At 60.8% G+C, this 22766-nt stretch overlaps 2 protein-coding genes across 27 annotated transcripts in view, besides 7 other annotated features; one reads left to right on the top strand and one right to left on the bottom strand.

Moving 5' to 3' along the window:
- Positions 1-5432, top strand: part of IFT140 (intraflagellar transport 140) — a 101646-nt gene extending 96214 nt beyond the window's left edge. For all 12 annotated transcript variants that reach the window (XM_047434970.1, NM_014714.4, XM_006720990.4 and 9 more), the window contains one exon: positions 4709-5432. In XM_047434970.1, the coding sequence (XP_047290926.1) occupies positions 4709-4915 (207 nt within the window). In that variant the 3' untranslated portion in view covers positions 4916-5432. The remainder of the gene's footprint in view (positions 1-4708) is intronic.
- Positions 5405-22499, bottom strand: TELO2 (telomere maintenance 2). 15 transcript variants are annotated; one of them, XM_011522773.4, is made up of 22 exons: positions 22254-22499; positions 21243-21613; positions 20236-20513; positions 18755-18823; positions 18351-18498; positions 16526-16628; positions 15695-15763; positions 15371-15512; positions 15160-15296; positions 14360-14439; positions 14086-14196; positions 13724-13812; positions 13455-13546; positions 13098-13214; positions 12857-12928; positions 10258-10449; positions 9530-9621; positions 9194-9379; positions 8808-8907; positions 8489-8553; positions 8143-8258; positions 5405-6029 (listed from the first exon to the last, which is right to left on the bottom strand). In XM_011522773.4, the coding sequence occupies exons 2-22, from the start codon at positions 21575-21577 to the stop codon at positions 5923-5925; spliced, it is 2700 nt and encodes an 899-aa protein (XP_011521075.1). In that variant the 5' UTR covers positions 21578-21613; positions 22254-22499; the 3' UTR covers positions 5405-5922. The 15 variants fall into 15 exon arrangements, with proteins under 15 accessions (XP_011521075.1, XP_011521077.1, XP_011521076.1 ...); XM_011522775.4 differs by having other exon boundaries at positions 21243-21578; XM_011522774.3 differs by having other exon boundaries at positions 21807-22304.
- Positions 9803-9972: an enhancer, noted in NCBI's record as "experimental_42864 CRE fragment used in MPRA reporter constructs". NCBI's record gives its function as "activates a minimal promoter by MPRAs in K562 erythroleukemia cells, with activity observed for both the introgressed and non-introgressed 16:1555973 variant alleles {active_cell/tissue: K562}" and the evidence as "EXISTENCE:reporter gene assay evidence [ECO:0000049][PMID:34662402]".
- Positions 19092-19991: an enhancer, noted in NCBI's record as "H3K27ac-H3K4me1 hESC enhancer chr16:1545869-1546768 (GRCh37/hg19 assembly coordinates)". NCBI's record gives its function as "activates a minimal SCP1, AML or CMV promoter by ChIP-STARR-seq in naive and primed H9 embryonic stem cells {active_cell/tissue: H9 hESC(naive and primed)}" and the evidence as "EXISTENCE:reporter gene assay evidence [ECO:0000049][PMID:30033119]".
- Positions 19992-20892: an enhancer, noted in NCBI's record as "H3K27ac-H3K4me1 hESC enhancer chr16:1544968-1545868 (GRCh37/hg19 assembly coordinates)". NCBI's record gives its function as "activates a minimal SCP1, AML or CMV promoter by ChIP-STARR-seq in naive and primed H9 embryonic stem cells {active_cell/tissue: H9 hESC(naive and primed)}" and the evidence as "EXISTENCE:reporter gene assay evidence [ECO:0000049][PMID:30033119]".
- Positions 21794-22694: an enhancer, noted in NCBI's record as "H3K27ac-H3K4me1 hESC enhancer chr16:1543166-1544066 (GRCh37/hg19 assembly coordinates)". NCBI's record gives its function as "activates a minimal SCP1, AML or CMV promoter by ChIP-STARR-seq in naive H9 embryonic stem cells {active_cell/tissue: H9 hESC(naive)}" and the evidence as "EXISTENCE:reporter gene assay evidence [ECO:0000049][PMID:30033119]".
- Positions 22062-22261: a silencer, noted in NCBI's record as "silent region_6990". NCBI's record gives its function as "represses an Ori minimal core promoter by ATAC-STARR-seq in GM12878 lymphoblastoid cells {active_cell/tissue: GM12878}" and the evidence as "EXISTENCE:reporter gene assay evidence [ECO:0000049][PMID:35858748]".
- Positions 22272-22321: a silencer, noted in NCBI's record as "silent region_6989". NCBI's record gives its function as "represses an Ori minimal core promoter by ATAC-STARR-seq in GM12878 lymphoblastoid cells {active_cell/tissue: GM12878}" and the evidence as "EXISTENCE:reporter gene assay evidence [ECO:0000049][PMID:35858748]".
- Positions 22492-22581: a silencer, noted in NCBI's record as "silent region_6988". NCBI's record gives its function as "represses an Ori minimal core promoter by ATAC-STARR-seq in GM12878 lymphoblastoid cells {active_cell/tissue: GM12878}" and the evidence as "EXISTENCE:reporter gene assay evidence [ECO:0000049][PMID:35858748]".

Genomic DNA, 22766 nt, shown 5'->3' with positions numbered 1-22766 from the left:
CCGATTTGCATGTGGTATCACTCCTCTTCAGCCTGAGCTCCCTTTAACATTTCTTCTAGTTCAGATCTCCTGATGATGAATTTTCTTACTTTTCGTTAATCTGAAATGTATTTATTTTGCCTGTATTCTTCAAGGTTGTTCTCATCAGATAGAGAATTCTGAGGCCAGGCACAGTGGCTCATGCCTGTAATCTCAGCACTTTGGGAGGCCAAGGTGGGAGGATTTCTTGAGGCCAGGAGTTCAAGTCCAGCCTGGGTAACAAGTGAGACCCCATCTCTGAAAAAAATAGCAAGGCATGGTGGCATGCACCTGCAGTCTTGGCTGCTTGGGAGGCTGAGGTGGGAGGACTGCTTGAGCCCAGGAGGTTGAGTCTGCAGTGAGCTGTGATAGCACCACTGCACTCCAGCCTGGGTGACAAAGCAAGATCCTGATTCAAAAAAAATCCTGATTTGACAGATTTTTTTCCTTTCAGCACTTGAATGTTTTCCCTGTCTGGGCCTCCATTGTTTCTGGAAGAGTCAGCTATGGGCTGTCTGTGGGGCCCTTACATGTCATGTGTCTCTCCATCTCCCACTGCACTGGCTGCTGTCATGACTTTCTTCTTGAATTTGTGTTTCAGCAGTGCGATAATGATGTTCCTAGGTGTTTTCATTGTATTTATCCTGGGCTTTTGGGATCTATATTTGTGTTTTGCCAAATTTGGGAAATTTGCTCTTTTTCTCCTTCTGGGACTCCAATTAAATGTTAGGTCTTCCATATCTAGTAGACACACATTTGTGATTACTGCTCATTATTTTCTTTTTTTCTGTCCTTTGGATTAATTTGTATTTATCTAGACTTTCTTTAGCTATCTTCAATCTGCTGTTAACCTCTCCAGCAATCTTTTTAGAGCTTGTATTTTGCAGCCCTAGAATTTACACTTAGTTCTTTTTATTATTTATTGGCTAAAATTCCCTATTTGTTAATTTGTTTAAAATATATTTTATATTTATATCCTAAAGCAGAGTTGTAACTGCTGCTGTAAAATCTTAGCTACCGGTTCCAATATCTGGGTCATGTAGGATTGATCTCCATTACTTGCCTTTTGAGTATGGGTCAAATTTTCCTGTTTCTTATGTCTAGTCATTTTTTTGTATCATGGACATTGTGGATAATCCATTGTAGAGACTCTGGATTCTGTTACATTCCTCCAAAGAGTATTGCTTTTTTTTGGTTCATTTTATTAGGCAATCACCTTTGCTCAGCTCAGAGCCGAAACTCTTTCCCCTGTGGTGGATAGCAGCTGAAATCCCTGCTTGTAGCGTGAGTTGGCTTAAAGTCTGCACCTCCCCTGCCTCATGTGTAGTGTGGGAGCAACTAGTGACGAGGGCAGCATATGCTCAGGATTTGGGATCCCCTCTATGCCTGCTGCATCCCAACGTTTCCACCTTCACATTCCAGCTGCTGTGGTCAACAAAAATCTTTTATTTATTTATTTATTTATTTATTTGAGATGGAGTGTCGCTCTATCGCCCAGGCTGGAGTGCAGTGGCGTGATCTCGGCTCACTGCAAGCTCCGCCTCCCTGGTTCATGCCATTCTCCTGCTGCAGCCTCCCGAGTAGCTGGGACTACAGGCGCCCGCCACCACGCCCAGTTAATTTTTTTTGCATTTTTAGTAGAGACGGGGTTTCACCGTGTTAGCCAGGATGGTCTCGATCTCCTGACCTCGTGATCCACCCACCTTGGCCTCCCAAAGTGCTGGGATTACAGGCGTGAGGTACCGCACCTGGCCAACAAAAATCTTGATTCTGATTCTTTAAGCCTGGAAGAGGGCAGGCTTCGAGGTGGCTGATGCCCACACTGGCCCTGACTTGGGCCTACCCTGAGGCAGAAAGTTGTGAGAAGCAGCCGGGTGCAGTGGCTCACGCCTGTAATCCCAGCACTTTGGGAGGCCAAGGCGGGCAGATCATGAGGTCAGGAGATGGAGACCATCTTGGCTAACACGGTGAAACCCCGTCTCTACTAAAAATACAAAAAATTAGCCGGGTGTGGTGGTGGGCGCCTGTAGTCCCAGCTACTTGGGAGGCTGAGGCAGGAGAATGGTGTGAACCCGGGAGGCGGAGCTTGCAGTGAGCAGAGATCGCACCACTGCACTCCAGCCTGGGCGACACAGCAAGACTCCGTCTCAAAAAAGAAAAAAAAAAAAAGAAAGTTGTGAGAAGCAGGAAGCCTGCCCAGTGCCACCCACTCCCAGCATCAGCCTGCTCACGGCTGCCCCCAGTGCCTTTCCATGTGTCCGTCGTCATTAGGGGGAGGGCTGCTCTCACAGGAGTCGTGCTGCTGTTGTCAGAAGCCTCTCTTCTCATTCTTTTTTCTTTTCTGAGACAGTCTTGCTCTGTTGCCCAGCTGGAGTGCAGTGGCATGATCGTGGCTCACTGCAACCTCCGCCTCCTGGGCTCAAGCAATTGTCCTGCCTCAGCCTCCCAAGTAGCTGGGACTACAGGTTCCCGCCACCACGCCCAGCTAATTTTTGTATTTATTTATTTATTTTTTAGTAGAGACGGGGTTTCACCGTGTTAGCCAGGATGGTCTTGATCTCCTGACCTCGTGATCCGCCCACCTCGGCCTCCCAAAGTGCTGGGATTACAGGCGTGAGCCACCGCGCCCGGCCTCTTTTTCAACCATAATTCTGTTGTAGCCAACATAGAGAATTGCACGCGCCTGCATCCGTCAGACCCTGCAGCTATGCCGATGCCTGCAGGGCCTCTGCACCCACCAGTTGTGTTGCCCTATTAGATAGTTCCCGGGACTCACAAACTGAGTATCGAGAAATGAGCTTGGGAAACATGCTGGCGACCGTGTCGGGCTCGCTGGGCTGCAGCCTCCAGAATTCACAGGAAAGCTCCTTGGCAGTGGCTCTCCCTCAGGGCTGAAAGGTCAGCTCCGTGAGACACAGACTTCCTGGCCCGGTTGCTCACTCCCCTCTGCGCCGTTCCACTTCCATTCACTGACCCCTTTTGCTGCTGGAAAAAACAACTCAAGTCTAATCCTAACAAGGTTTCTTTTTTGTTGTTGCTTGGTTTGGTTTTGAGACGAGGTCTTGCTCTGTCGCCCAGGCTGGAGTGCGGTGGCACAATCACAGCTCCCTGCAGCCTCAGCCTCCCGGGTTCAAGGGATCCTCGTGAGTGGCTGGTGTGCAGCACCGCGCCCTGCTCCAACGGGGTTTCTATTTCTAGGAGAACTATAGTTTTCCGTATAAAAGCAAAATTGGAGTAGAGAGATGCCCAGACTGCTATATCCTCAAAATTAACAGGAAATCCACATTTTAAATATTTCGCCAACTTCTTTATTCTCTCTATGGTTGCTTGAAGCCTGTGGAATTTAGTAACTCGAGATACAAAAGAAAAAAGAAACTGGGAAGCGCAGCTAAACTGAGAATGCCCAGGCACACGCTCCCTGGCTGCTGCTGTAGCGCCACCCGGGGTCACGTGCACCACCTCACCCAGGCCACAGCTCCTATATCCGCTCAGCTTTCCCGCCATCATCCATCATCTGAGCACAGCCCGCACACACCCTCCTGATGCTGGAGACCGGCAACATTTCTGTCCCCACGTCCTGCCCTCCACCGCCCCTCACCCACCTACGCCGCCTGTCCTGCCCCCCATCCTGCCCCCCACCCACCTATGCCGCCTGTCCTGCCCCCCATCCTGCCCCCCACCACCCCTCACCCACCTATGCCGCCTGTCCTGCCCCCCACCACCCCTCACCCGCCCTCCGCACCTTCTGCCTGCCTTCTGGAAACCACTTGATTGCCCTCTCCGAAGCTAGCTCTGCACACAGAGCAGTCACACGCACCAGGCCCTGGTTGCATCAGGACGCCGGCCCTTTCTGACCACAGGGTCCCTCTTCGACCCTGGTCAGCTCCTTCCTCTCTCTCCCTCCCTGTGCCAGCCCTTCTCTGAATTCTGCCACTGCAGGACCTCGGCCTGACCTGGCTCCCCACTACAGCATTACCCAAGCTTGTTCTGTGCCCTTACGTCCTGTGTCCCCTGTGTCCCCAGCACAGCGCCTGGCACATGGCAGGTGGTTTGTCAGCATGTAAGGCAGCATCTTTTCAGGTGTGGATGTTTGCCCTCAGCCTCTCGTTTGAGACTGTGTGGAAGGCTTGCACTCCACCAGCGCCCACCCCAGCTGAGGCCTTCCTTAAACGCAGGTCCACTGCCAGGTGATGGGAGGGGCCATCCAACAAGCTTATTATATCTTCATAGCTGAGACTCCATCTCAAAAAAAAAAAATACCCAAGCCAAACCAGTAGATATCGCTGCCTGCCCTCCACTCTGACATATGCATGTCCACCCGCAAGACTCGAGTGCAGAACGCGGGGCCTCTGCCTCCCCAGGAGGCTCTGCCCGCACACGCACGGTGAGCAGGCCTGTGCACAGCTGCTGAGGGACTTTCCAGGGCCCTGGCTCTGCATTTCCAGCTGAAATGCTGACCGAAGCTTCCTGTTGAGTGTCCACACATGGCATGTGTGCGGTCCGCGGGCACCGCATCCCCTCATCACCACATTCCCCCATCACCAATGGGAAGCCTCAGTGCACCCCGTGTCCTCCAGCGCGGAGGCACCCCCACCCGCCTCCAGGGGCAGCAGCACGTGCCTGGCCTGCAGGCAGAGGGTCGTGCCTGGTTGTTCAGGAAAGCTGAGTAATGTCTGCTCCTCTGCCCCAGGCCTACAGATTCCTGGAGGAGATGCGGCGGCGGCTTCCCTTGGCCAACATGTCCTACTACGTGAGCCCGCAGGCCGTGGACGCCGTGCACCGGGGGCTGGGTCTCCCACTGCCACGCACCGTCCCCGAGCAGGTCCGCCACAACAGCATGGAGGACGCCAGGGAGCTGGACGAGGAGGTGGTGGAAGAGGCAGATGACGACCCCTGAGGGGCCTGGGCCCCAGGACCAGCGTGCTGCTGCAGAAAGGCATCTTCTGGAATTTTTTTGTCAGCTGTGGCAAAGCCAGCATTTTTGCTGGGAAAAAACATGTCTGTGTTGGAATACGCGACAGAGCTGGGCGAGAACGCAGCGGCCCGGGCCGGCGGAGGGTGTGACCCGTCTGCACCTTGCTCTGTCCCACCTGCCTCTGGGTGCCCGGCAGCTCCACTAGATTTTTGGATTCATTCCTTTGAAGGGAGTCGGGTTCACCCTTCCATCGTATTCTCCCAACTACACATTGTAAAGCCTGAGAAACTTCTAGAACCTCAGGAAGCTGCAGCTGGAGGGCTGGGGCACCTGCCCCCCTGCTCCCCACACATCATATCCTCCCCATACTCCTGCAGGGCCCACGGCTCCTGAGCAACAGCTGGGACACCCGGGCCTTGGCGGCTGCACCCCCTGCTAGGCTCTGCCCACCGGCCACCAACACTCCTGTAATTCCAATAAAGCAGTTTATTTTCTGAGAGCCCGTGCCCTGTCCCATCCCGCCCCACGAGCCCATCCAGGAGCCACACACCCTGCCTGGGCTGTGAGCACTATTCTCCTGGTGACACGGCGCTCAGCCCGAGGGACCTGGGACAAGAGCTGCTCTGTCCTGCTTGGTGGCTCTCAGAGGAGAGCCTTGGGGGCTCTGAGCAGCAGGTACACCGTCCTCCCCTCCTGCCAGCCTGGTTCTGCCCTCACTGGAAGAGTCAACCCCGCCAGCAGCGCCCACAGCCCCAGCCCCACGTCCAGGCTGCCATGTCCCGGCGGGCAGTGCCCAGGCCCAGTGTATTTTTAGCGGACTGGCTGCACTATAAATAGCGGCAGGCCGGGCCTTCCTGCATCTGCACTCTCCGTACCGGATGCGGCCGAAGACCTGGCCTCGCTACAAAGCCTGGCTCTGCTGCTCCAGGCCGCTGCTCAGCCGCCTGCCTTGCTGTCGGCGAGGGTGGTCCTGGGGAGGCCTCCAGGGACTAGGGAGACGCGGGTGGGAGGAGCCTGTTCTTGAGTCTCTGCAGAAGCAGCAGGGCCCTCAGTGCCAGCGTCCTGCAGTCCTCGTCCGGGTCTTTCTCAGCCACGTCTGCCAGACGAGAGTGACAAGCAAAGCTGAGGCAGCGTGGAGGGCGTATTCTCCCTCCTCCTGTCTTCAGTCTGCCTGAACCAGCCCCGCCAGGCCTGACTCCATGGAAGAAAGGGGGCTCGGGTCTGCAGTGACCCCGGACTCTCCCCACGGCCTTGGGGCCTGCATGCCACAGGCTCTGTGCAGGCAGCACTGTACATGGAGGGCTGCCCTGAGCCGCGGGACAGGCAGCCATGGGAAAGGGGCCTGGGGTGGGGCGCACAACCGGGGAACCCGGGAACACCAGCAGGGCCTGCTCCTTGCTGGACGGCAGACAAGGGCTGTGGTCGGAGGTGGAAGACCGTAGGAATCCGGGTGGTGGGCGTGCCACCCGCCTGTGGGGAGGCCTCTTGGGTGTCTGGGACCGCACACTGCCAGAGCTCTTGGCTGCCCGCAGTGCTGGGACCCTCACCAAGGCCTCCTGCAGCCTGGGGCCCCGGGGAGCCTTGGGGGGGCTCTGCTGGCCACAGCTCCTCCCCAGATTGGGCTAGAATCGCAGGGTGAGGAGGCACCTGTAGACCCTTGTGGGAGGTGCCTGTGAAAGGAGAACACCCTGTCGGGACCCCGCCAGCCGAGTGGAAAGGGATCGGCTGAGGGACAGGGCCCCCCTGCTCCTCCTGGTGCTTCAGGCCCCCAAGGCCCCCAGATGATGACGTCGCAGGTACCGAGTCTCTGGGGAAGGAGGTGGGCCAGGAACTGCAGGGAATGTGCCCGCCCACCCAGCCCCATCAGTGGCTCCACTGGCCAAAGGGGAACCTCTCCTCCTCCAGGCAGGGCGAGTGGGCGACAGCATGCTGAGGAGGGGTTGGGCAGCAGCTCCAAGGGTCTGGTGTCTGGGGGGCCTCACCCCCCTTGAAAGAAGCAAAGCCCAGCACAGCACTCCCCACGCTTTGGGCCCAGGACCCTCCAGCTGCTCCGTGGGAAGACATTCACGGCCACCCTGAGCACAGGTCCTGGGAAGGGACAGGGCAGAGCTGGGCCTGCCCTTCCCGTGTCCATCGGTACCGTGCCCTGCTCTTCAGCCCGTCCCCGGGGACTCGTTGGCTCCACTCCCCATGGGAAACACCCGTTCACACCCAGCAGGCTGGCACTGCGCCCAGGTGGGGAGAGGGGAGATGGCTGGGGCAGAAGAGGCACACAGCCCAGCCCCACGGGAAAGGAAAGGTGACCTCACCAAAAGCATCCCCCAGCGCCCCCCAGCACAGAGGTCTGAGCACAAGTCCCTGGGAAGGACCCGTATCACCCGGGACCCTCCTGACAAACGTGGAAACCGAGGCGGTATCCATGAAGCCACCTTAAGGGCCCCACAAACCAACCACTGGACCACAAAGGCCAGCAAACAACAAAAGGTGCTGGGACTGGCCGGGCGCGGTGGCTCACGCCTGTAATCCCAGCACTTTGGGAGGCTGAGGCGGGTGGATCACGAGGTCAGGAGATTGAGACCATCCTGACCAACATGGTGAAATCCCATCTCTACTAAAAATACAAAAATTGGCTGGGCGCAGTGGTGGGCACCTGTAATCCCAGCTACTCAGGAGGCTGAGGCGGGAGAATTGCTTGAACCCAGGAGGCGGAGGTCGCAGTGAGCCAAGATTGTGCCACGGCACTCCAGCCTGGGCGACAGAGCAAGACTCTGTCTAAAAAACAAACAAACAAAAAGTTGCCAGGACTGCACCGGCCGGAGGGGCCCAGGGAGGCGGGTGGGCGGGGTCACAGAGGGACCCCAACAGGGTCTAGGATCAGGACCAAAGGAGGGAAACGGCCAGTGCTGGGGTGGCTGCACCTCCGGCCTGCACACTCTGCCTGTGTGGGTCCCAAGGAGTCATGGCAGCCTGGCCTGCAGGAGCTGCAACACACACACCCACACACACACACACACCCCGGGCCGACACACATCACACACACACACACACACACACACACACACACACACACACACACCCCGGGCCAACACACATCACACACACACACACACACACCCCGGGCCGACACATCTCTCACACACACACACACACATACACACACACCCCGGGCCGACACACATCTCACACACACACCGCAGGCCGACACTCACCCGCCAGCCAGGACCGGGCTTCCAGCAGCTCGTCCATCAGGTCCTCCAGCAGGCGCGCAGCAGGCAGGCTGAGCAGGACGGAGGAGACGGCCGACAACAGCCCCTGGCGCACGTAGCTGCCGGCAAGAAGGCGGGGGCTGAGCTCGGCAGGGACCACACCCCAGACCTCCCACTCCCCTCAGTGTGGCAGACCACCCACGCTGCGGCCCTGCCTGGCACACTTCCTATTTGGGAAGTACCAGGCCAGGCTGCCTGTCAGCCACCTCGAGGCTCCACGGGGCCCCCACAATAAGACCCCTGTGTCTGCCTGCACCCCTGGCCTGGCCCAGCCCCACAGGCCACTCACGCATCGATGTGGAAGCGAAGGGCCCACACGAATTCCAGCAGGGCCTTGCCCATGGCCACAGCCACCTGGACACCAGCAGAGGGACAGTCAGTGGGGTCCCGACGCCGTCCCCACATCCCAGCACCCATGGGCGGCTTCCGCTGCTGGGCAGCAGCAGGGACAGGGCCTGCCTGACAGCCGAGGGGATGCTCCCGCTGCCCGGGGGCCCACACAGGCAGCCCCTCCCTCAGACACCCATCCCTGGGCGCAGGTGAGGCTGAGGAGCGCTCCTGATCCATGGTTAGCACAGGCCGGCGCCCGGCGACCTCTCCCGGCTCACCGTGGTGTTAACAGCCAGGCACATCAGGGCCCCTAAGGTGTGCGCCAGCCTTCCGAGAACCAGCTGGTCTTCTCCCAAGAGGTCGAAGGTCACCAGAGGCCTAGAGCACAGGATGGAGCCCAAGGTGCAGCGGGTGCCTCAGGGCCAGGTCCCCAACCTCCTGGGCCACCGTGGGAGACCGAGGGAGCCCCACACAGCCCCTCCTCCCGTGCCCACCGCCTTGCCTGCACCGAGATCGTAGGAGCAGACATTTCCGGGTGCCTACTCCCCCTGCAGGGCTGTCTGGCACAAGTCCACCTGGGCCAGGAGTTCCCAACGCCGAGACCCCCACCCCTGCTGCAGCACAACCCAGGCCCCACACTTCTCTGCCATCTCGAGAGCCTCACGCCCTGAACGTGGGGCCAGTGCAGCGCCGGCTGAGGCAGGAGGAGGCGAGCAGGGCCCAGCAGGTGATGGCGTCGGGCACGTGCGGGCGGCACTGCCGGCCATGCCACAAGCCCAGCATCGGAGCAGATGCCTGGTGCCTCATGGCAAAGCTCAACCACAGAGGAATCTTGCGGGACGCTCCCTGCCATTTAACACAGGCTTACAAAAAGCCACAGCAAAGCACGACCCTGTTCACACCCAAACCCACTCAGATCCCAGCCCGAACTTCTTGGCCACAGTGGTACGTCCAGGGTCCCTGTCCCCCAAGTCCACAGGCCCACGGAAAACCCACTCACCTGTCAAAGCGCTGAAGGAGGGGGAAGAAGAAGTGGCCGGCCACGGAGTTGAATCTGCTGGGGCTGCCTGCCGGGCCCTGCCTCGGGCCACCCTGCCAGACACAACTACAGCGATCACGGAGGTGCAGGCTTGGGCAGCGGGCACGGCACCCCTAGCCCGAGAGGATCCCACAAAGCAGCGTGGACCTCAGCCTCGCCTTGCCTCCCCGGGCTACTCTTCCGGCCCCGCCCAGCTCCCAGGCCCCATGGGGTTGGTGACGGGACTCAGGCTCCGCGGCCAATGCCTGGACAGCAGACCAGGCGTTCCCGAACTTGCAGGCAGGACATTCAAGGCTGGAGGAGCGTCCTGGGGAGGCCGCCCTGGGCACTGCAGGATGCCTCCGTGGCCTCCAACCCACCCCTAGTGACAACCAAAAACATCTCCAGACGCCCCTAAACATCCTCAGGTGGAGCAACACCACCCCTGGCCTAGATGGGCTCTGAGGACAGAGCACCACCAGGACACCTGTCACTTATCATGTCCCCAAGCCCAGTCTGGGTCTCCTACAGCCAAAATCCAGTTCCTCGGTGCAAACCATGGACCCTGCCTTTCAGGAATCCCGGCAAAGGCACCATCCCCAGCGAATGTGGCCGCCCCTCGCTGCAGACAGCGCCTGGAGGTGTCTGACCGCCCTTCCCACCCACCCACGGTCCCCATGCCCGTGAGGAGCTGACCAGGCGCCACTAACCTTGGAGAGCCGCTGGGTCTTGCTTCTGATCCGCTCCTCCACCACCACCCGCCAGTCAGACGCCACGGCACTGCCAGGCTGAGAGACGGCTGCCTCTGGCAGGCACGGGGTGTTGGGACTTGGGGAGCCAGGTTGGGGAGTCCTCCCGAGGCACCCAGGCCTAGACAGCTCCTGGGCAGCCAGAGTCAGCACCTGGAGGGAGACAGGCCCAGGGCCGTCGCCACTGCTCCAGGGAAGAACATTTCCCAAGAGTCAAGTCAGCCAAAGCCCCAGAAACGGGCCCGGGGGCCCGCCCAGCCTGGGAGAAGGTGTGTTCTGGGAACAAGGAGAAAAGTCACTTCCCCGTAGCTCACAGCAACCGCGCCTTGGTAGGCGGGAAGGTGGGGAAGGTGGGCACCGTGCTCCAGGAGATGAGAACACGCCCAGGGCCGAGCGCAGCCTCATCCTAAAGCCACGCAGTCCCGCCACGCCAGAGCCACATGCCCTTATCCCAGGAAGTCGGCCTCACAGCAAAAGCAACGCTGCAGCGGCACGTGCCACGGGCGGGGGGACCTCAGAACATTGCAGAGAAGGCACCAAGGACCCATGTGCGCCTCCATCTCTAGGACACCTTCTCAACAGGCCAGCGCCAGACCGGAGGCTCCCAGGCTGGGAGGGTCGGGGCGACTGCTGACAGGGATGGGGTTTCCCTCTGGGGTGATAAGGACGCTCTGGGACTAGACAGAGGCGGCTGCGTGACACTGTGGATGTTCCGAACGCCACCCAAGTGTGCACCTTAGAACCAGTTACGGCTGAGGCGGGCGGATCACGAGGTCAGGAGATTGAGACCATCCTGGCTAACACAGTGAAACCCCGTCTCTACTAAAAATACACAAAATTAGCCGGGCGTGGTGGCGGGCGCCTGTAGTCCCAGCTACTCGGGAGGCTGAGGCAGGAGAATGGCGTGAACCCGGGAGGGGGAGCTTGCAGTGAGTCAAGATCGCGCCACTGCACTCCAGCCTGGGCGACAGAGCGAGACTCTGTCTCAAAAAAAAAAAAAAAAAAAAAAAAGACCAGTTACGGTGAGTTGTTCTCATGTTCTCAGTCTTTTTTGCTTTATTGTGGTAAAATATATACAAGATTTACCACGTTAACCCCTCCCCTCCCTTTTTTTTTTTTTTTTTTTTTTGAGATGGAGTCTCGCTCTGTCGCCCAGTCTGGAGTGCAGTGGCGCCATCTTGACTCACCACAACCTCCGCCTCCCAGGTCCAAGCAATTCTCCTGCCTCAGCCTCCCACGTAACTGGGACTACAGGCATGCACCACCATGCCCAGCTAATTTTTTGTGTTTTTAGTAGAAACAGGGTTTCACCATGTTGGCGAGGCTGGTCTTGAACTCCTGACCTCATGATCCGCCCGGCTTAGCCTCCCAAAGTGCTGGGATTACAGGTGTGAGCCGCCGTGGCCGGCTGCTTTTTTTTTTTTTTTTTTTTTTTAAAGAGACAGAGTCTTGCTCTATTGCCCAGGCTGCAGGGCAGTGGTGCCATCACGGCTCACGACAGCCTCAACCTCTGGGCTCAAGCCATCCTCCTGCCTCAGCCTCAAGAGTAGCAGGGACCACAGGCGCCCCACTCCCAGCTAATTTTCTTCTGGTGGAGATGACAGGGTCTTGCTATGTTGACCAGGTTGATCTCAAACTCCTGGGCTTGAGCAATCCTCCCACTTTGGTCTCCCACAGCACTGGGATGACAGGCATGAGCCGCCGCGCCCAGCCCGTTTTCCCCATCTTTAAGTGTACAGTTCCGTGGCATTAATAAGTACGTTCATGATGGGCAACCATCACCTCCGCCCTCGCCAGAACTCTTTTGCCTTCCCAAGCTGAAACTGTCCCCGTGAAACCCTCACTCCACATCCCCTCCCCAAGCCCCGGCAGCCCCGTCCGCTCTCCGTGAACTAGCTCCTCCGGACGGCTCGCTTAAGTGAAATCGAACGATATACAGGCCCTGGGGCTGCTTTAACTAAATGTTCTCAAGGCTCATCGTGTGGCAGTGCGTATCAGAGTCGAATTATCTTTGAGACAGTGTCTCCCTCTCTCACCCACACGGGAGTGCGGTGGTGCAAACAGCTCCACTGCGGCCTCCACCTCCTGGGTTCGAGGGATCCTCCCACCCCAGCCTCCCGAGTAACTGGGACCACAGTCGCCCACCACCACACTTGGCTAATAAAGATGGAGTCTCATTGTGGTGCCCAAGCGGGTCTCGAACTCCTGGGCTCCAGCGATCCTCCCGCCTCAGCCTTCCAGTGCTGGGATTCAAATTTTTCTTTTTCATTGCTAAATAATATTCCCTCACCTGCGCAGCACACATTTTACCCTAAAGCGGTGAATTTTATGGCGTGTGAATTATATCAGTAAAGCTGTTATTTTAAACAAACAAAACTCTCTGCCCCGGGAGCCCTGACTCCCCCACTGCTGAGTCCTGCCGGGTCACACACTCACGAAGGCAGTGGACAGGCCTGCACGAGCCCTTGGGGCCCAGCAACAAGGAGACCCAGGTTTTGGCAGCCCCACCTTAGGGCAGCTTGGGCCAGACCAGGGGGACTGAGGCCCAGGAGGCACTTACATCCAGGATGTCCATGCGCTGCCGGAGGCTGTAGTTGAGGGCATAGAACTGTGAGGTCAGATAGTCGGCCACCTGAGGACACAGGGGAGAGGCTGCTGTGGTCCGGGACCTGAGGGCCACCCGGGGCGACCTCCGGGCACCTCACAGCCAGCTCCAGCACAGGACCGAGACTCAGGCACCGCAGCTCCCAGTGCTTCCCGCTGTGCCTGCACTGGCCAGGGCCACGGGTGCGGGAACTCACCGGGGCCGGGTCTGTGACCGTGACGGCCACCAGGGCTCTCTGGCGCAGCCCTGCAAATCCCACCACACAGGTCTTCTCCTCCAGATGCAGAAGCACCTTGGCCAGCTCCACGCTCACCTGCACGCAGGGGTTAGGGCTGGGAAACCTGTCGGACCCAGCTGCCCGCCGAGGCCTCACCGAGGCTCACAGGGCCGGAGCCACCCACCCCAGCAGAGGCCCCAGGCCGCAGGCCCCCCGGGAGAGGCAGCAGCCCTGTCACACACGGGAGCCATATGTCACCCTCAGTGGCCAGGACACAGATGGCATTGAGGGAGCTACCATCTTGGGCCTCCCCACCCACTCCCGCCCCCCACTCACCTCCCGAGTGGCTGTGGGGCTCCTGTAGACCAGGCCCTCAAGGGCCCGCAGGGCTGCCTCCCAGCGCTCTATGTCCTCAGACGTGGTCAGGGCTGCACAGAACCCAGAGAGGCCTCGGTCAGCCTCAGCCCTGACCCTGAACCCATGAGAGCCAGCAGCACGGGCGGCACCCCGGGCCCAGGGCTTCCCGGTGGCCCCTTGAGGCAGAACCAGGCTGTGAGCGGGACCCATGCCCAGCCCAGCAAGGCCCTCCAGGGGCCCGTGCCCACCTTCCACGCAGTCCCGGACGTAGGCAGGAGCCTTGCTGCTCTTCAGCTCTCTGTCCCCCGACATGTCGTAGGGGACAAACTCATCATCGCTGTGGGAGAGCAAAGCAGACATGAGCAGCCCATGGCCTGTGACAGGAAGTGCCCAACGGCAGAGCCAGCCCCTCTCTCCTCCCCAAGATGCGGAGCTCACGCCTCGGCCCCTGCGCCTACGGTGGAGCTGGGAGCTGCGGGCCCTCACATGAGGACGAAAGAGAAGAAGCACGGAGCAGGCAGGGAGCCCCCCACGGGGCCGCAGCTTGGAGTGTGAGGGGTTCGCCTCCCGGCCTCCTGCACGCTGCCCACTGGGGTGGCAGAGCCCCTACCTGTCCAGGTCCGAGTCAGAGCCCGCCAGCTGTGCTTGGGGGACGCCGCCATCCACGATCTCTGCGGGGGTCTCTGCAGGGGGCTCTGCCGTGGCTGGAACGAGGGACGTGCTTTAAGGAAACAAGGAACAAAAATCCTTTAGGGGCCCCTCGAGCCTCTGGTCTCAGGACTCACAGGACAGAAAGAAAGGGTTTCCCCCCTCCCATCCCGGCAGCGGAATCCAGAGCAGTAAGATGTGCACGCGGTGGGGTCCCGGGGGGCAGAGACCCTCACCCCGCCTCCGAGGCGCCGTCACCCGCAGGCTGGGGGGAGGCCAAGGCCAGCAGCTCGAGGCTCAGTTCATCCTCTTCGTACTACAGCAGGGGAGCAGGCTCAGCGGCATCCGCCAGGCTGCAGCGCCCCTCCCCGAGACGGAGCCACGGGAGCCACTCCCCACTGTGGCCTCCCTCGCAGCCCGGTCTCACTCAGTGGCTGGGCCCTGGATAGCCAGGTGTCTTTTTAAAAGCGACTTTCTAAGATTCCACCTCAGGCCAAGGGTAGCACTGGGAGTGCTCAAAGCTGAGGGGCCGTGGCCCCTCTCGAAGGAGCTGGGCCTCCCCCAAGGCCAATGCCCCAGAGAGATCCCAGGTTCTCAGCAGATAAGAGGACAGGCCGTCACCTCCACAGCCTGAAGGCAGACAGGGCTCCTCCATGGCCAGGCAGCCGGCAGCAGAGAGGCTGACACCCACGGCCACCGACCCAGAGCGACCTGGCTGCCCTGCAGCCCCGGCCGGACAAACTGCAGGGGGTGGCCCCCTTAACCCCAGCCTCCCTCGGGCCCCCGTCTAGAGAGAGTCTGTGAACGTGTCCAGGCAATCCTTCTGGGGGCCCTGTGCTCACCCGACCCTGTGTGGCCCCAGGAGCTCAGGGCTGAGAACCTGCCACAGCTTCCAGCCTCAGCCCTGCGAGAAGTCCACACGGACGCTCCGCAAGTCTGGACCCCGGGAAGAGGCGGTGACCCTGGGGCTGGAGAGGCAGCCGCTCGGGAGACCCGGGCCAGCCACACGGGGACGCGGAGGGGACGGCCCGCTCACCTGGAATTTCAGGGGAGGCCCCTCGGGGTGGATCCGGGCACTAACGACCTCTGCCACGATCATGCCCAGGCGTCGCACGGGGGGCAGGCTACTGTCCAGGCGGCACTTCACGCCCGCCATCATGCTGGCCAGCAGTTCTGCAAGCACCGGACAGGCCCCCTGAGCACCTCGGGGCGCCCGAGGCCGGGGGGAGCCCAAACCACCCGCTCACCATCCCGGCTGTCCCGCAGTTCCGGCTCCCCGAGTTGCGCCAGGCAGATGAGGACAGCCTTGCTGACGTGGCGCTGCTGCGGCAGGGGAGTGTGGCGGATGGCACTGCTGCTGCCCCACGTCTCCAACAGCTCCTTCAGCACCTGCAGGTGGCATGGCCCACGACTGTGTGGGGCTCGGGGCCAGTCTGTCCCCGCCAGGCCCACAGCCACTCTGAGGGAGCTCCGCCCCAGCCCAGCCAGCCTCACCCTGCCGCCCAAAAGGTGAGCCCCGCACGGCTCTTCTCCCAGGGCCTCGCAGGGACGGAGAGCCAGGAGGCACGTACCTGCAGCAGGAGCGGGCGCCGCTGGCTGTCCATGGCCAGATGGCCCAGCAGGCTCTGCAGCATGGGCGTCTGCAATAAAAGCACATGCCTGTCCACTGGGCTGAGGCCGCCGCCTGGCCAGCCCGGGGCTCCCAAGGCCAAGAGCCATGCCAGGACTGGGACCAGACTGAGGGCAGCAGACGGACAAGCATGGGGGCGGCCACTGCCTCCTGGAATGCGGGACCCCTCCCCTCCCGCAGAAGCTGCCCCCTGGGCTCAAGCGACCCACCCGCCTCTATTCCTTTGAACTGAACGTGATAAAACGGTTCCATATAAAAACGTAGGATGCAGCTGCTGCCGTGCTGGGGCAGGGCCTCGCCATCTTAAGTTCTCGTGTGAGCAAAGGAGGAGGGTGAAGCAAGATGTGGCCGGGAGTCAGGGGACCCGGCTCACCCACTCTGGGCTCAGGGGACCTGGCTCACCCCCTCCGGGCTCCAGGCCATGGGGACGGGAGTCATAAGTCCCGGAAATGCACGACCTCCTCTGTGTCCTCACCTATCCCCCACCCACCCCACCCCACCCCCTCAGGCCCCTGGCACAGAACGCAGCTAGGGCGGGTGGCTTCTCGGGAGTCTAGAAGATTGACACATGAGAAGCCCTCACTCAGAGCCGTCACAGCAGGGCCTGTCATCAGGGCAGGGAGGCACCCACCGCCTCGCCAACTCCTGCCAGCCACTGCCAAATCACAGGCAGGGTCTCCCAGGCAGCAGACACCGCTCCGACCCCATGTTTTGCAGCCATTCTTGCTGTGATGGGGCAGCCAGCAGCCTGCACCCTCCGTGGCGTCCTCACCGTGAGCCGGGACTGTAAGAACAGAAGCTTCTGGGTCATCACAAACTGGGCCTTCTTGTTCTTCACCACCAGGTTCCCCAGCAGTCTCGAAAGGACCTCAGGCCTGCAAGACAGAGTCAGGGGCCAGAGCTGCAAGCCGGCCTGGAGACAGGGAGGAGCGAGAGCGTGAACTCCGATGCCCACAGACGGCGGCCTGACTCCCGGCCTGCCAATTCCTAGCCACGAGCCTCTGGTTCCATCCTCCGACTGCCTGAGCTGGGCCTTCATCCTCCCTTCTCTGGGGCATAAATGCCACAACCCAGAGAGCGCGTGCACCGCAGCCCGGGCGGAGGCGGGTCCACCCCCGACAGCCTCCTTCCCTGCACCTCAGCCCGGGCGGAGGCGGGTCCACCCTCGAAGGCCTCCTTTGACAGTGCCAAAAAAATTTTATTTACAAAAACATGCAGCGGGCCAAATTTTGTCCAAGTAGCCTGTAGGCCCCTGGTCCAGACTGAAAGAGTCCTCCCGGTGAGAGGTTATGGGTCTCCAGAAAGAGCCCCACAAGTCTATCCAGCCAGTGTGGAAACAGATATGGCTGGATTTCTCCCTCACTTATCACTTAAAATTCCACACAAAGAAATAACGGTTAAAAAAACATTTGGGAGGCCAAGGCAGGAGGATCACTTAAGGCCAGGAGTTTGAGACCAGCCGGGCAACAAAGTGAGCCCCGTCGCTACAAAAAATTTAAAAATTAGCTGGGTATGATAGCGCGCACCTGTGTTCCCGCTACTCAGGAGGCTGAGGTGGGAAGATCGCTGGAGCCCAGGAGGTCGAGGCTGCAGTGAGCTATAATCACACCACTGCACTGCAGCCTGGGAGACAGAGCAAGATCCTGTCTCTAAAAACAATCCCCCCCAACAACAACACCAAAACAAACTATAAAATAGAATGTGATTACATGATTATATAGTTCACAGAGAAAAGAATACAAATGCCTTAAACACACACACACCCTCACCCAGAATCAAGAATGCAAAGTCAGCCGGGTGCAGGGGCTCACGCCTATAATCCCAACACTTTGGGAAGCCGAGGTGGGTGGATTGCTTGAGGCCAGGAGTTCAACACCAGCCTGGCCAACATGGCAAAACCCCGTCTATACTAAAAATACAAAAATTAGCCGGGTGTGGTGGCGGGCGCCTGTAGTCCTAGCTACTCAGGAGGCTGAGGCAGGAGAATCACTTGAACCCAGGAGACGGAGGTTGCAGTGAGCCGATTGCACCGTTGCAGTCCAGCCTGGGTGACAGAGCAAGACTCCATCTCAAAAAGAAAAAAAAAAAAAAAAGAGGAGGAAATACTTTGGGCAGAGACAGGTATGTCCTTGCACACGTTGAAGGGAGGGGAGACATCTGAGGCAGGTGAGCTGGCAGGGTTTGTGGGGGTAAATGGCCGGCAGTCCTGCTTCCAGAAATGCAACCTTGATTCTCCTGCACAAAGACGTGGGGAAGTGAGTCACCGCCCATCACCATGTCAGAGCCTGGACATGGTGCACACGTGTGCGAGGGGGACCACAGGCGCAGGACGGGTGGACGGCCCAAGGTACAGGCGCCTTTACGGTGTGGGCTGTTCACAGCATCGATGCTATTTCATAAGAGAAAGGGACCCTCTGATACAGAGGTCACCATCAGCACGTGCGGGAACTGAGAGGGCACCACCCACACCCTGTGGCACCTACATGGGGGTGCCAGCTGCAGCACGGCGCCCAGGAGAAGTAGCGTGAAGGAATGGCAGCCTCTGGGGGTCCAGACCCCAGAAGCCAGTGCAGCTGGAGGACAGCCTGGCTGCTTACCCCAGTGCGGCCTCCACCAGCCCGGTCAGCACAGCCTCCATGGCCCGGTCCGGCACTTGCTCCACCAGGCGCCAGCAGACGCGCTGGTGCAGGTAGCTGCCCTGGGTGAGCGCTGCCAGCCGGGGTACCAGCACGCCCAGGATCTCCTCTGAGGGGACAGACGGAGGACCTGAGCCTGGGGAGCTGCACCCACCTGGTGTCTGGGGCTGTGTGGGTCCAGCAAGGACAGTCCCACAGCTCCCCAGTAAGCACAGCTGAGCCCCAGATCCCACGGGCCCAGGACAGGACCGGGCAAGGGGACCCTGCAGAGGGCCAGGGTCAGGAGGGATTCTCGGCCTTCTGCAGAAGGCTGATGGGCTGTGAGGGTCGGGGCAGGATGGGCAGGAAGGCACTGCTCTACTCACGCTGCCTCCCGTGGACACAGGCTTTCCCAAGGACCTGAGACACGAAGGACACGGAGGAATCCAGGCCACCTGGGACAGAAAGGGAGGCCTGATGAGGAAGCCGGCGGGAAGGCACAAAAGAACATCTAGGTGTGGGGAGAGCTGCTCTCGGTCAGGCGGACTCCAACCGACAGCAAAACTCACTCAAAACAACGGCTGGTGCCCATCAGCCTACCCAGCAAATCTGAACAGGAGTGCGTGGAACCTGACAAGCAAATCACAATCCTTTCAAACCTTCACCCATCTTAGCCCACTTAATCGTCACGATGGTGTAGGAGGTCGGGACCGGTATGATGTTGCCGAGGAAGGAGAGAAAGCATCGATAGGGCCCGGCCAAGTTGGGTCAGCCACGCAGGGTAGGCCTGGGCCCTGAGCCGGGCATGAGACCCTGGAGCAGCACCACCACCACGGCCGCCCACAGGGAAGGAGCGCACTCCAGGGAACGTGGGGAACCGGGAGGGGCCGGGCTGTACCAGCCCCACAGAAGAGCTGGGACGCGGGGCAGCGGAAAGCACAGAGCCGCGTGGGGACCAGGACGGCCCCAGCCAACCCCGAACACGTGAAAAAGCCGCATTCCACATGTGTCCGAGATGTTCCCAAAGCCTCCTTAATACATGGGCCCATGCACAGCAGCAGCTGCAAGCCTAGGGCTACGTTCGGAAAAGACAGGAGGGGCTCAGGAGGTTGCTGCAGGAACCCCCAGGTGAGGCGAGGGGGCTTGGGCCACACAGGCCCCACGCAGGGACTCGAGGGGCCCGGCTTCCTCCTGGGCTCTGAGGGGGCGCCGAGCTGCTCCAGGACCCCAGGGTGCCCCTGAGCGAGGGAGGGAGTTTCAGAACGAGGTCGGGGCAGCATGTGGAGGGTGGAGTCCGGACCCAGGTGCTCGACCTGCGTCTGAGCTGTCGCCTGGAGCTCGGGAAAGGCAAGAGAAGGAAGGGGTCACCCTGCAGGGAGAGGCAGACGCTCCGGGTGCTGTGCAGGCCCCCGGCCCAGCCTCCTTCTCGCTAGTGAAACGCACACTCGCGGCAGCCGCCATCTGGCGCCCCAGGGAAAACAGAGCGAGCATGGGCGCTCACGGGGCCCTGCAGCCCAGCAGCGGGCAAGGCCGTTCCCACAGCACCCCCTCTCCAGGGCACCGCCAGCGTCTGCCTCCAGACCTGAGAACCTCGAGATCCCCCACCTGGCCACCACAGCACAGTTGGGCCCTGGAAACCCAAGGGACTGCAGGGACAAGAGAAGCCCGCGTGGAGGGCAGCGGACTTCAGCCCACAGCGGATGAGCCCTGCCGGTCACTACTGTGCGGGACAGGGACATCCCCACCTGCCTGACGGCATCAACCAGAGACTCCAAAGTCTCCAGAGGCCGTGAGGCACCAGAGGGTGGCAGGGGACGAGGACCCAAGAAGACGGGTGGCAAAGGGGGTCCCCGAGGCAGGGCCTCACCTTGGAGAGAGTCCACAACCGCCTGCAGCACCCGGACGACCTCCTCGCCGAGCAGGCGGAAGTAGTTCTGGGGGAAGAACTCGGCCAAGTTCTCCTGCTGCAGGCGGTTGCCCAGGTGATCGGGCAGGGCCACCACCTTGCCCAGCAGCGTCTCCCGGAGCAGGATGAAGCCGGGCTGCGTCTGCTGCCGACACTGCGCCTCCATCAGCACTGCCAGCCGGCCCTCGCGCAGGAATCTGGCCAGCAGCCGCGCCATCTTCATCAGCCGGAAGCTGGGGCTGAAGATACGGGCGTGTTGGGCAGAGCCGCCAACCCCCATCCTCGGGGCCCCCTTCCTGCCACAAGGAACCAGCAGCCCGGATTACACGGGCAGCCCCAACAACATAACCAGCGTGAAGTCCAAAACCACAAGCCGGATGGGAAAATCTGTTAATCCATTCCTAAATAACTGCGATTACTGTGTGAGAGCTCTCGGGGCCCTGAGCGGCTTCCCCAACCTGGAGTCTCACTGGACACCCCTCCCCTGCTGCTGACGCGGATAACTCAGTGCTTGCTTTGATCACAGCAACCTCTGAAAACCCAGCTTCTCAAGATGCAGTGTCCCGGCAAGGACTGCAGTGTGATCTGAGGCTGAGCCTGGGAGCCGGCTGGGGCTGGGAGTCCACATGGGACACGTGTCAGTGATGACAGCTGTGCTTCCCTGGAAAACCTGGAACGTCCCCAGCTGACGGGCTGCCTCTGCCGCCTGGGATGTGAACACTCCCACCCCATCCCTCTCTGACACAGCCGGACGGGGAGCAAGTGGGGGACTTTGTGAGACACAGCAGGTGCCTCCCGTCGCAAAGGAGACAGACACAGACCGCTTCTTCTGTTCAGGGGTTCAGCCAGGAGCAGGCTCTCTCTCTAGCCCCTCACAGGGACTAGAGAGGCTCTTGGTCCAGTCCTTCAAGCCACTCTCATCACTTCTGAGGCTACCGGCAACCCCAGGATGGGCCCAGCCCACTCACCCCGCAGCACCCTCGATGGTCTCCATCAACACCAGGAAGGCTTGGTCCGCCGGGCCCTCCAGGAAGAAGCTGGCCCACAGCTCCTCCAGGCGGCCATGGGGCAGCAGCTCCAGCCAGGCTGGGCTCAGCCTGCTGGCAAGACATCTGAGGACAGGCGAGAAGTGGGCCGAGGCAAACTCCTCCTTCTCCCTCGGGAGCGCTGGAGGCTCCATCTCACCGAGATACCGCTTCAGGGACTCCAGGGTGCAGAAGATGTGGCCGCCATCCTCCGAAGACGAGAGGGCATGAATGGCTTCCCGGACGGCGAGTCGAACCTCTGAGGGTGCTGGCTCCATCCTGCAGGACAGATCTGGGCGTCACGGGAAGACGACCTGTGACATGGACACAGGGCTCAGCTTGGGGCACGGAAATAATCCACACAAGCTCAGGAAGCCCCTCGGTGAGCGCCCCGAGACCCCACACCCCTCAACCCTGGTCCCACCCAACCCTGTCCCGCCTCCTTCCCCTCCAGTGCCTGCCGGTTTCCACCCAGAGTTCGCTCCTCCGCTCGGACCCCAACGCTACCAGCCACTGCAGGGCTTCTCAACCCGGGCCACTGTGCCCAGGGAACATTCTCAGTTGTCTCAACCGGGAGTGCCACTGGCGCGAGAGGGAGGTGGAGGCTAGAGATGCTGGTGAGTGTTCCCCGGGCACAGCGCGGCCCCACGCGTCCTCGCACCCAAGGCGGGAAACTCGGCCCGCGGGAGCTGCCGGCCCTCCCGGCTCCCTGAGCGGTGAGAGGTGGCTCCAGTCGCCATTCCTCCGCCCCTTAGAAACCAACAGCTTACGGGGAACACGGGTTCGGGGCTAGAGGAGCCGCACGCGGACCCGCCCCCGATCCAGGCCCGGACCCCGACCTGTACCCGGACCCCGACCGGACTCCTACCCGACCTGGACCCGACCCAACCAGACCTGGAGCCCAACCCGACCCAACCGGACCCCCGATCCCCGATCCCCGACCCCCAACCCGACCTGGACCCGGCTCCCGGGTGACTGCAGCGCGCTCAGGCGCCGCGCGCCACCGATTCGCTGCAGCCGATTCCCCACGGCCGCCGCGGCCCCGGACGAAACGCGATCGCGGCCCAGCCGGTTGGCCCCGAGCACGAGTTCCTGGGTCCGGGCGAGGCTCCCGCGGGTTTTCTTGAGCCTCTGGGGCGGGTCTCCGCGGGCCTCTCAGCGCGAATCTGCGGAGGACGCCAGGCGGGAGGGCGCATCTGCGCCTGCGCTGCGCGGGGACGGGGCGGAGCCTGGACGCGGGAGCGGGGGGCGGTGGGGTGGGCGGGGCCTGACGCGTGAGTGGGGCGGGGCCTGAGGGCAGGGCCGCGCTTCCCCACGTGGCTGCGAGCTGGGTTCGCTGCGCCCGGGTGGTGGGTTCTCGCCTTAGTTTCTCCCATCTCGGTCGTCCCTACCCTGGAGTGATGTCAGCCGTCTCTTCCCTCCGCCTCGGGTCCCACATTCTCTCCAGAACGCCGAGCGTTCGCTCTA

Source organism: Homo sapiens, chromosome 16 (genome assembly GCF_000001405.40).
Source record: "Homo sapiens chromosome 16, GRCh38.p14 Primary Assembly".
Taxonomy (NCBI): Eukaryota; Metazoa; Chordata; class Mammalia; order Primates; family Hominidae; genus Homo; species Homo sapiens.
Note: the sequence above shows the minus strand (reverse complement) of the source record. Positions and strands in the feature narration are given on the sequence as shown.

Coding starts and splice junctions, on each gene's coding strand:
- TELO2 (XM_011522773.4), bottom strand. CDS start 21,577: ATGGAGCCAGCACCCTCAGAGGTTCGACTCGCCGTCCGGGAAGCCATT. Junction 14,197..14,359: donor GACGGCGCCTCGGAGGCGGG/GTGAGGGTCTCT, acceptor GTTTCCTTAAAG/CACGTCCCTCGTTCCAGCCA. Junction 13,813..14,085: donor TCTGACTCGGACCTGGACAG/GTAGGGGCTCTG, acceptor GCTCTCCCACAG/CGATGATGAGTTTGTCCCCT.